General features: G+C 38.1%; 1 protein-coding gene across 15 annotated transcripts in view; it reads right to left on the reverse strand.

Annotated features, from left to right (window-relative positions):
* The window catches only part of TMEM156 (transmembrane protein 156), a 65,666-nt gene that overhangs the window by 51,238 nt on the left and 1,841 nt on the right, over positions 1 to 12,587 (reverse strand). The window contains exon 2 of one of the 15 annotated variants that reach the window (XM_017008629.2): positions 10,464 to 10,616. The exons of 13 other annotated variants lie outside the window; for them this stretch is intronic. The gene's annotated coding sequence lies outside the window, so the exon portion shown is untranslated. Of the gene's footprint in view, positions 1 to 7,653; positions 8,120 to 10,463; positions 10,617 to 12,587 lie in introns of those variants that run through there. One more of the 15 variants, XM_011513754.3, reaches the window with a different exon arrangement.

Consider the following 12,587-nt stretch of genomic DNA (forward strand, 5'->3'; position numbering starts at 1 on the left):
TTTACTGGGATCATTGGTATATTTAGATTTAATTATATCATATTATTAATGCTTCCTATTTGTACCATGCTTTCTATTGTTTCTTGCCTTTCTGGCTGTTAAATTGATTCAGTGATTTTTTTTTCTCATTCCATTATTTTTCCCTTTAGTTATGTGAGGTTAGATACTATATTTCTATTATTTTAGTAGTTACCATAGTAATTTTTAACATGCATTCTTAAAGCCTAAAGTCAATCAACAGTTAACCTCTCTCAAACAATACAAGGGTCTTAGGATACTTTAACTCGGATCATCTCCTTCCTGACTTAAAGGTTACTTTTATACAGCATTTTGGTTCTATCTTGTTTTTTCACTGACATACAAATTAGTTGAGTTTTTAAATTTTATGCATCTAATATTTTCAGGATTTGTTTAGATTTACTCACATGTTTATAATTGTTGTTGAGGTTTTTTTCCCTGCCATTTCTTCTTGCATCTCTGCCCTTCCTTCTGGGATTACATTCCTTCTCCTAAAGCTAATTATTTAGAAGTTCTTTCACTGAGGGTCTGATGATTGTAAACTCTCTGTGTTGTTTACCTGAAAATATACATCTCACCAATTCTAGGTCAACAAAAATTTTGCCTCAGCACTTTGCAGGCATTTTTCACTGCCTTCTGATTTTCATTGTTGTTTTCAAGAGATGAGCTATCAGACTATTGTTCCTTTAAACTTTTTAAAGACAATCTGCATTTATCCCTGGTTATTTAAAGATCTCTTGGCCGGGCACGATGGCTCACACCTGTAATCCCAGCACTTTGGGAGGCCAAGGTGGGCAGATCACCTTAGGTCAAGAGTTCGAGACCAGCCTGGCCAACATGGTGAAACCCCGTCTCTACTAAAAATACAAAAATTAGCTGGGTGTGGTGGTGGGCTCCTATAATCCCAGCTACTCAGGAGGCTGAGGCAGAAGAATCACTTGAATTTGGGAGGCAAATGTTGCAGTGAGCCAAGATCACGCCACTGCACTCCAGCCTGGGCGACAGAGCGAGACTCCATCTTAAAAAAACAAAACAAAAAAAAAAAAAAAACCTCTTCAGTTTTCATGCTCTGCAGAATTTCTCATCACTTATTTTGCTTGGGATTTGTGGGTTTCCTGAATTTGAGGATTTACGTCTTTCAATGATTCTGTAAATTTCTTAGCCATTGTCTCTTCAAATATTGCCTTTACCCTATTCTATTTCTTCTATCCTTTGCAGCTTTGATTAGAAATAGCTCCCTTTGCTTTCCATGTCTCTTAACTTCTGTGCTATGTTCTAGGTAATTTCTTTAGATCTCTATTCCAGTTCACTAATTCATTATTTAGTTGCATCTAATCTGTTCATTTCATTCCTTGCATTTCTAATTTATTATATTTTTCACAATTAGAACTTCCAGTTGGTTCTTTTTCAAATCTGCCTGGTAACTTTTAATAGTCTTTGTTCCTTGCTCATATTGTTTTTTAGAATCACAAAATGTGGCAGAGCATTGGATCTCCCCACATATTTGTTTTATATTATTTTTAGGCTGGGGGAATAAACGACTCTGTTTGTCCTCCCTATTAACTTTGTGTGTACGAATTGTTGCTATTTTTGCTATTTTCCCAATCACAGTACCTTACATTTTGCTTTAAACTTCATATATTTTCAGGTGCCTTTCCCCAAGTTTTATTAAGGTATACTTAACTAACAAAAATTATATATATATTTATGGTATACAATGTGATGTTTTGAGATATATATATTGTTAGGTGATTAAATCAAACCTAATAACATATCCATCACTCACATACCATTTTCGTTTGTGTGTGGCGAGAACATTTACTCTCTTAGCAATTTTCAAGTATATAATCCATTATTATTAGCTATAGTCAATATGCCATACAATAGATCTCCAGAACTTATTCATCTGTCTAAATGAAATTTTGTATCCTTTGACCAACAACTCTCCATTCCCCTCACCCCACCCTGTCGTCCACGGTAAACATCATTCTATTCTATTCTCTGCCACTGTGAGTTCAACTCTTTACGACTCCATATATAGTGAGATCATGTGGCATTTTTCTTTCTGTGCCTGGTTTATTTCACTTAGCATAGTATCCCCCAGATTCATTCATACTGTTGCAAAAGACAGAATTTTCTTCTTTGTTAAGGTGGAATAGTATTATCTTGTGTATATGTACCACGTTTTCTTTATCCATTCATTCACTGATGGACACTTACATTGATTCCATATCTGGACTATTGTGAGTAATGCTGCAATGGATATGGGAGTTCAGAGTGATTCCACATCCGGACTATTGTGAGTAATGCTGCAGTGGATATGGGAGTTCAGAGATCCTTTGACACACTGATTTCCTTTCCTTCAAATATAACCAGGAGTGGGATTGCTGGGCGATATGGTAGTTCTACTTTTTTTTAAAGAGACAGGATCCTACTATGTTGCCCAGGCTGCTCTCAAACTCCTGGCTTCCAGCGATCCTCCCAACTCAGCCTCCCAAGTAACTGGGACTACAGGTGCATGTCATTGTGCCTTATTAGTAGTTCTTATTTTGAATTTTTTTTATTTTTTTTGAGATGGAGTCTCACTCTGTCACCAGGCTGGAGTGAAGTGGCATGATCTCGGCTCACTGCAACCTCCACCTCCCGTTCGAGCAATTCTCCTGCTTCAGCCTCCCGAGTAGCTGTGACAACAGGCACATGCCACCATGTCCAGCTAATTTTTGTATTTTTAGTAGAGATGGGGCTTCACCATGTTGGCCAGGATGGTCTCGATCTCTTGACCTCATGATCTGCCCACCTCAGCCTCCCAAAGTGCTGGGATTTCAGGTGTGAGCCACCGCACCCAGCCTAATTTTGAATTTTTTGAGGAGCCTTTATGCTGTCTGTCATAATGGCTGTACTATTTTACATTCCCACAACAGTATACAAGGGTTCCCTTTTCTCCACATCTTCACCAGCACTTGCTATATTTTGTCTTTTTGATAATAGCCATCTTGGGTGTGAGATAATATTTCACTGTATTTTCATAAAATTTCAATTTGTATTTCCCTGATGATTAGCGATGTTGAGAATTTTTTCATATATGTATTGGCCATTTGTATGTCTTCTTTCAAGAAATGTCAGCCTGATGCAGTGGTTGATGCCAATAATCCTAGCACTTTGGGAAGCCAAGACAGGAGGATCGCTTGAGCCCAGGAGTTTGGGACCAGCCTGGGCAACATAGTGAGACCCCGTCTCTACAAAAAAAATTTAAAAATTAGCCAGTGTGGTGACCCACACTTGCAGTCTTAGCTATTCAGGGGGCTGAGGTGGGTGGACCGCTTGAGCCCTGGAGGTCAAGAATGCAGTGAGCCATACTACATTCCAGCCTGGGCAACATAGTGAGACCTTGTCTCAAAAAAAAATAAATAAATAAAAAGAAAAGAAAAGAAAAAAATGAAAAAAGAAAAAAGTAAAAAAGAAATAACTCTTCACTATCCTTTGCCCATTTTTAAATCAGGTTATTTTCTTGCTGTTGCATTGTCTGAATTCCTTATATATTTTGGATATTAAACCCTTATATATATGGTTTGCAACTATTTTCTCTCATTCCGTAAGTTTCTTTTCACTCATTTCCTTTGCTATGCAGAAGATTTTTAGTTTGATACAATCTCATTTGTATATGTCTGCTTTTGTTGCCTGTTTTATGGGTCATAACCAAAAAAATAATTGCCTAGAACAATGTCATTGATATTTTTCCCTATGTTTCCTTCTAGTAGTTTTACAGTTTAGGTCTTCAAGTCTTTAATCCATTTTGAATTGGTTTTTGTACATGGTGTGAAATGAGTCTGATTACATTCTTCTGTGCTTACTCATACTTTTTGATGTAATATTTTCTGTACTGAAACAAGCTAAATATTTTCTATTTTATATCTCATAATTCCAATATCGGAATTCTTTGAAGATCCGATTCTGCTGTTTGTTGTTTCTGTTGATTCTTGTCCATTGAGTCTTCACGTGTTTTATCATTTTTGATAATAGCTATTGTTCCTTGGAATTTTACTTTGGGAAATTATTTGAGGAATGGTGTAAAGATGTTTTCCTCCAGAGAGGATTGGTGTTTTCCTCTGGTGAGTGTCTAATGGCACCATTAACCCAAAGTGACTTTAACTACATTCCTGGATTGGACTTTTCACACGTCACAGGTAATGATTCTCAACATCCAAGTTATGGCCAACTGTGTTTATAAACTCTCAAAGGACTCTTTTTCCTTTCTCCACCCATAGCCAAAGTGAAGACAGACAAATTTCCTCAAAACCAGACATAATTTGTGCTAGATTACTGTTTTATGGAGCATATCACTTTTTAGTATCTCAGTCATATCTCAGTCTTACACTTTGCCTTCTGTCTCCTGACGTATGACCCAGTGAAACTGAAATTCCAGGCCACCAGAGATTTGCAAATGCTCCTGAGGCACAAATTTGTTCACTCTTGCTTAGCCATACGTATTTATAATTCCTACTCATTTTCTGCCTCCAAGGAGTCTTATTGTCTTATCAGTTTAACTCTACATTTCTAAAGTTTTAAATACATTTTATTTCACATTTTTAGATATTTTGTCCCAGGAGTATTTTTCAGAGTATGACTGCAAGAAAAGAAATCTCAACTATCCGTTGACCTCTACCAATAAGTGAAAACTTATTTGTAGAATATCTTTCCATAAAATTTTAATGTAAATTAAAATCTTCATTATTTGACAGATAGTAGGCACACCAGAGGCTACTCTAGGTCAACTCACATTTTCCCAAGACCTCATTAACTAGTTGTCAGGGAACTTTGGAAGAAATGTAGATTATTTCTTTGACTATACATATTCTAAGTGTTATTAATTCAGTATATTAAATATAAACTAGAGAAAATGAGAATTTTTTGCTACTAGAAATATTGCTAGTACAACCACTTTAGAGAAACATCTGTCAGCTTCTTGTAAAATTAAACGTACCCAGTGAAATGGACTAACCGTTTGTGTACCCCTAAAATTCCAATATGATGGTATTTGAAGGTGGGGTCTGTGGGAGGTAATTAGGTCATGAGAGTGGAGAGCTAATGGATGGGATTAGTGTCCTTATAAGAAGAGACCAGAGAGGTAACTAGTCCATCCTGTAAGAATACAAAGAAAAGTCAGCATTCTGCAACCCAGAAGAGGACCCTCATCAGAATCAACCATGCTGGCATACTGGTCTTGGATTTCCAAACTCCAGAACTGTGAAGGCTGTTGTTTACAAGTTACTCCGTCTACAGCACTTTGTTACAGCAGCCCAAGCTGACTAAGACACCCAGGTATTCCACAACTAGAGCATTATTGAATAGAAATAAAAACATATACTGACACAAACATTTGTACAATAATGTTCATAGCAGCATATTTATAATAGCCCAAACTTGAAATAACCCAATAGATAAAGGGACAAATGTTGTGTATTTATATGATGGAGTACTTTGCAACAAAAAGATAGGAGCTACTAAATCACTCAGTAGCATGGATGAATCTCAAAAACATGCTAAGTAAAGAACCCAGACCAGGCCAGGCATGGTGGCTCACGCCTGTAATCCCAGCACAGTGGGAGGCCAAGGTGGGCGAATCACTTGAGGTCAGGAGTTCAAGACTAGCCTGGCCAACTTGGTGAAACCCATCTCTACTAAAAATACAAAAAATAAAAATAAAAAAATCCAGGCATGGTGGTGGGCACCTGTAGTCCCAGCTACGCAGGAGGCTGAGGCAGGAGAATCACTTGAACCCAGGACGCAGAGGTTGCAGTGAGCCAAGATAGCACCACTGCACTCCAGCCTGGGTGACAGAGTGAGACTCCGTTTAAAAAATAAAAAATAAAAATAAAAAAAGAAGCCAGACCAAAAATATTTACTGTGTGATGAGTCCATTTACACAAAATAAAAGAAGAGACAAAACCAATTTATGGTGACACAGGTCAGATGTTGCCTTGGGGATGCTGGAGGAGATTTGAAAGGAAAGAGCCAGAGGAATCTTTTGTTTGTTTATTTATTTGTTTGTTTTTTGAGATGGAGTCTCGCTGTTCCGCCCAGGCTGCCATGAAGTGGCGCCATCTTGGCTCACTGCAACCTCCGCCCCCTGGGTTCAAGTGATTTTCCTGCCTCAGCCTCCTGAGTAGCTGGGGATATAGACGCGTGCCACCACACCCAGCTAATTTTTGTATTTTTAGTAGAGATGTGGTTTCACCATGTTGGCAGGCTGGTCTCTAATTCCTGACATCCTGTGATCTGCCTACCTTGGCCTCCCAAAGTGCTGGGATTACAGGCATGAGCCACCATGCCCAGCCGAGCCAGAGGAATCTTTACTGGGGAGATGTAAATCTGTATCTGGTATGTGATAGTAGTTACACAGGTGCACACGAATGTCAAAATTCATGAAACTGAACACTTAAGATCTTTCCATAAAGAAAATGTGGTATTATATACACCATGGAATACTATGCAGCCATAAAAAAGAAAGAGATCATGTCCTTTGCAGAAACATAGATGGAGCTGGAGGCCATTATCCTTAGCAAAATAACACAGGAACAGAAAACCAAGTATCACATGTTCTCAATTATAAGTGGGAGCTAAATGATGAGAACACATAGAGGGGAAAAACAGACACTGGGGCCTACCAGAGGGTAGAGGGTGGAAGGAGAGAGAAGATCAGGAAAAATAACTAATGGGTACTAGGCTCAATACCTAGATGATGAAATCATCTGTACAACAAACCCCAGTGACATGCATTTACCTATATAACAAACCTGCACATGTAGGCCTGAGCTTAAAATAAAAGTTTTTTAAAAAACATCTTTCCATTTTATCGTATGTAAATTATGCCTGTTAAAAACATAGTCGATTATTTCTAAAAATCTTTCACATTATTAGTTATTCTATAGCATAATTCAGCAATTTAAAAATATTAGCTGTCAGGATAGGAGAAACCTTATGGTTTAGCTGCCTAATTTACAGAGACATTCATTAACATATGATGTTTTCCTTTGGTCACAGGTCTGCCTTCTTTAACAGTTGGAATAGGCCGGGTGCGGTGGCTCATGCCTGTAATCCCAGCACTTTGGGAGGCTGAGGTGGGCAGATTGCCTAAACTCGGGAGTTTGAAACCAGCCTGGATAACATGGCAAAACCCTGTCTCTACTAAAAATACAAAAATTAGCCAGGCGTGGTGGGGGCGCCTGTAATCCCAGCTACTTGGCAGGCTGCGGCAGAAGAATCGCTTGAACATGGGAGGCGGAGGCTGCAGTGAGCTGAGATCGCACCACTGCACTCCAGCCTGGGTGACAGAGCAAGACTGTCTCAAAAAAAAAAAAAAAAAAAAAAAGATTGGAATAAACTCAAAAAGATTATCCACTTCAATAGCAAAAACTAGATTATATTTCAATTTGGAGGCCAATCATTGAAGGCTCTCTGGTAATATTGAGCAGAAAAGAGGGAAAAACATATCATATTGTGTATGGGTGATATATCTGTAGTGTCAGCCAGATCAGGAGCAAGGGACTACGGATTTATTCATAGGATATTTGGGAAAGACCATTTGAAATGTTTGCTGGAGGCAGGGAGCAAAGTTTGGGATAACTTTCGACATACCATAGCAATATTTGAAAGGCAGGTTTGAGACATAGGAGACTGCTCATTTTACTTGTCAAAATAAGAGAAGCAAATGAATATTATGAAATTCCCTGTAGATAAAGAAAATGGCAGGAAAATGACTCAGGGTAAAAAGACACATACCTTTCAAGTAAAATATTCTGCAAAATAAATTTCACACGCTAGCACAACTTAAAATCTCTAGGTTTGTGATGAAATTTAATCTTTCAAAAATATGAGGATAACACTTGGCCTGCCTAAATCACAAGATGTTTGTGAACGTCAGATGAGAAATGCCTCCTTCAAGGTTTTCTTTTGATTTCCTTAACAGTATGATTCAGCAAGTTTGCTCCCTCAACAGATATTCATTGAGTGCCCTTAATATGACAGACACTCTCTTAATTGCTTGAAACACATCAGTGAACAAAGCAGACAAAACCTCGGTTTCATGGAGCTTACATTCTATTTGGAGAAATCAGATAATTTTAAAAAATGCATAATAAATAAATCATATAGGTGATAAAATATAAGTGATAGGAGAAAAGAAACAGAACAGTGTAAGGGGAAGATATATCACCATATGAATGTTTTAGAGAAAGTCTTTTTTTTCTATTAAAGCAAAAAAGATATGCTACTCAGGAGGCTGAGGTGGGAGGATCACTTGAACCCAGGAATTGGAGTCCAGCCTGGGCCATAAAGCAAGACCCTGTCTCTCTTAAAAAATTTTTTTAAAAAATTAAAAAAAAAAGAGATATACTAAGGGAGCATTTATCCACCAAAACAATGAGACAAGCAGTTAGAAAGCACCCTAAGCAAGGATTGTTGGTAGGTATTGCAACCTAACAGATTAGAGAATAAAGCCAGTTCTGTCAAAGTGATGAAAAGCGTTATATTTAACACATTTTTTTGCCAACACCTAGTGCCTAAAATATATATATGAAAATATTGTGTCCATTAGTGGCCATTTTAAAATTGTAATGATTCAGAAAATTCAATAAGAAACAAAATCTGGCTGGGTGTGGTGGCTCACACCTGTAATCCCAACACTCTGGGAGGCTGAGGCGGGTGGGTCACTTGAGATCAGGAGTTCAAGACCAGCCTGGCCAACATAGCAAAGCCCCATCCCTACTAAAAATACAAAAATTAGCTGGACATGGTGGTGCGTGCCTGTAGTCCCAGCTACTCGGGAGGCTGAGGCAGGAAAATGGCTTGAACCCTGGGGTTGGAGGTTGCAGTGAGCCGAGATCACGCCACTGCACTCCAGCCTGGGTGACAAAGTAAGCTGTTGTCTCAAAAATAAATAAATAAATAAAAATTTTTAAAAAGAAGCAAAATCTTACCACAAAGTACATTTATCCATCTAGTTTTATTCCTTCTTTCTAAAGATTTTCAGAACATTCTCTCTTGAGAATGATGCTGCGCCATGAATGAGTAGAAATATTTGACACATTACTGTGAATTATTATTTTGTAAAATATATGTCAAAGTACTTGGCATATTACTGGCACATGTAAATGTATTTGTTAAAATAAAAAAATTGTTTAAATAGTCATAAGGCCTTATTGGGGATTACTGATTAAATATTTATGAATAAGAAAAAGAGCATTCATTTTTGAGAACTAGAATAACACTTTCAGGAAATTAATTGCAATTACCCTTGATGTGGTGGTCATTATAATATAGACTTAAACACTGTGAACATATGCTCATATTATGTCAGTTTATCCTATAGTTGCTTTATCCTTTGTTTTCTTCAATTTCACTGTTCATTATACCACCATTTCCTTCACAAAGCGTGAAAGAGAAGGGGAAATGAAAGCTGGTAAACAGAGTTTATGTCAGTTTGGCTCTTAAAAGAAAGTGAGGAAGTCAAAACAGATAAAATTAGGTCTGAGGTGTTTTCATCTATACTATTCCTTTTTTTTTTTTTTTTTTTTTTGAGACGGAGTCTTGCTCTGTCACTCAGGCTGAAGTGCAATGGGGTGATCTCAGCTCACTGCAACCTCTGCCTCCCAGGCTCAAGCGATTCTCCTGCCTCAGCCTCCAGAGTAGCTGGGATTACAGGCACATGCCACCACCATGCCCAGCTAATTTTCCTTTTTCTTTCTGTCTTTTTTCTTTTTCTTTTTTTTTTTTTTTTGAGAAGAAGTCTCGCTTTGTCCACAAGGCTGGAGTGCAGTGGTGTAATCTCGGCTCACTGCAACCTCCGCCTCCTGGATTCAAGTGATTCTCCTGTCTCAGCCTCCAGAGTAGCTAGGATGACAGGTGTGCACTGCCATGCCCGGCTAATTTTTAATTTTTTAGTAGAGACAGGGTTTCACCATTTTGGCCAGGCCGGTCTTAAACTCCTGACCTCAATTGACCCACCCAGCTTGGCCTCCCAAAGTACTGGGATTACACCGCGCCTGGCCCCAGCTAGTTTTTTGTATTTTTAATAGAGACGGGGTTTCACCATGTTGGTCAGGCTGGTCTCAAACTCCTGACCTCAGGTGATCCACCCGCCTCGGCCTCCCAAAGTTCTGGGATTACAGGCGTGAGCCACTGCACCCAGCCTCATCTGTGCTATTCTTATCCTGTATTGCCACAAATCACTGGGAGTACACTTGTGTGACTCACTGCAATTGCCACTTTCAGGAACTATTGATATACTGATATGAGAATATTTTATTTAATAATCGTCATCATTTCTTCTCTTGAAAAGTGCTTTTGCAAGCAGGTAAGAAGGAATACTAGGTGATCATTTGAACTCTGACAATTATTTATTTCTCTTTGCAAATGGAAATACAAGGAACGTCCTCCCAAAGACTGACGTGGAAGCAATACTTATGTTTCCATTGCATCTTGTTTACATCCCTGTTTCAGTTAATTCCTGTATTTTATTTAGTTGTTTGCCAGTCAGTTGTCCTCCCGACTGAAAACTCCTTGATCAAAGAGTTGTCTTTCCTTTTTGTAGCCCCAGGTTTCTAGCACAGGTGAAAGAATAAATAAATAAAAGATCACTGGGATTTACATGAGGGTTAGCCAAGTTCTGTCTTAAACACTGTAAGTCCAACAAAAACAGGTTGGAAAGTTTCTTATTTGGGAGTAAGCTAGCTCCCTTAATTGCAAGAAGCTCTGAATCAAAATATATCCACCACTCCCTTTTGTATCTCCATTATCTACATGTAATATAAATGCATCAAACCATTATATTAACTACTATATCTTAGCTGCCTTTCAAATAAATGGAAAGGTTAAAAAACACTGCTGTAAAATAGGTTATCTTGCTAATAGTGCATACCCAATGCAAACCCATTAAAAGTCTCACACAGTGTTGAAGTAGCTCCCTTTTTTGGTAAAGTTAGACTAAATAGCTTATACTGTGTAATTGTGATAATGGAATATTCCTACTAATAATTACTCAGAGACTCAGATACATTCTTGATGAAAAATTATCAAACAAGTTGCTTTATTTTTAACTTAGGACTTCAGAGGGCTTATTATTTCGAAATCAAATCTATTAAACATCATGAGTATATTATTTCTCATTAAGATTCCTTTTGAATTCATTTCACATGTTAAAGACAGGGTATCAGTGAATAATTTATAAGTAAAAATTATTTTATAATATTTATCTTAGAAATTAAAGTGAATAGAACATGAGAAAAAATGAAAAAAAAGGACAAGAAACGAATGGAGTAAGACTAGGCAGGGGAATTTCACAAGGTTAATTGCAGCACTTCTAGAGCACTCTTAGCTTACCATCAAATAATTTTACTAGCTATTTTATTTAGCATTAGTTGTCAATTTAACTCATTTCATAGGTCAACTATTATTGTGATTAAGAACTAATTTTTTTGGGAGGCCGAGGCGGGCGGATCACGAGGTCAGGAGATCGAGACCATCCTGGCTAACACGGTGAAACCCCGTCTCTACTAAAAATACAAAAAATTAGCCGGGCGTGGTAGCGGGCGCCTGTAGTCCCAGCTACTCGGGAGGCTGAGGCAGGAGAATGGCGTGAACCCGGGAGGCGGAGCTTGCAGTGAGCCGAGATCGCGCCACTGCACTCCAGCCTGGGCGACAGAGCGAGACTCCGTCTCAAAAAAAAAAAAAAAAAAAAAAAAAAAGAACTAATTTTTAAAAACCAAGACAATTATGTCCAAGTTTTCTTCATTTAATCAATATGGGACTATATTAAATGAGGCTATAAAAAGATGTTACTGGTGATCCATAAACCATTAGAAAAAAATAATGGTTTTTATTATTATTATTTTATTATTATTACACAATTGCATGTGTATAACATTTTGCCTAGTAATCAACTTTTTGTTTATGGCAGCTCTGTGCAAAATTCCTTCTACCACTAAATAATGTAAAAGAAGACAGTGGTTTTTGAACATTTTTGTTTGTTGGCCCCAAGTAGGGTTCCTTTGAAACAAAATTCCCCAATAAATCCACCTGAGTGTGGTGGTATGTGCCTGTAGTCCCAGCTGCTTGGGGACTGAGGCAGGAGGATTGCTTGAGCCCAGGAGTCAGCCTAGGCAACACAGCAAGACCCTGTCTCTTAAAAAAAAAAAAACAACCCATCAACCCAGAAAGAGTTTGGAGCATTATCTATGCTGTTCTTGGACCAGGAGAAGAGAAACAGCCATTTTAAGTTTGGGAAGGCAGTAAAGGTAGTATTGGGAGCTGATATAACCAGTTTTGAAAGCAAGAGAACAAACATCATTATAAATGATGGTTGACTATTGACAAGATGAAGAAGAACTGACACATTACTATTAGGCCAAGGAAGTTTGGCTAAGATGGATTTTATAAGAGCTCTTTCTTCTACCTACCAATAGAAGGGGCTCCCATCTGTCCCCCACTAAGAATTTCTCTGTGCTTCATCTATCTTCTTTCTGCTCACCACTGCCCCAGAAGGCCATGCTTCTCACTTTGAGAAACAAAAACTA

Source organism: Homo sapiens, chromosome 4, assembly GCF_000001405.40.
Source record: "Homo sapiens chromosome 4, GRCh38.p14 Primary Assembly".
Classification (NCBI taxonomy): domain Eukaryota; kingdom Metazoa; phylum Chordata; class Mammalia; order Primates; family Hominidae; genus Homo; species Homo sapiens.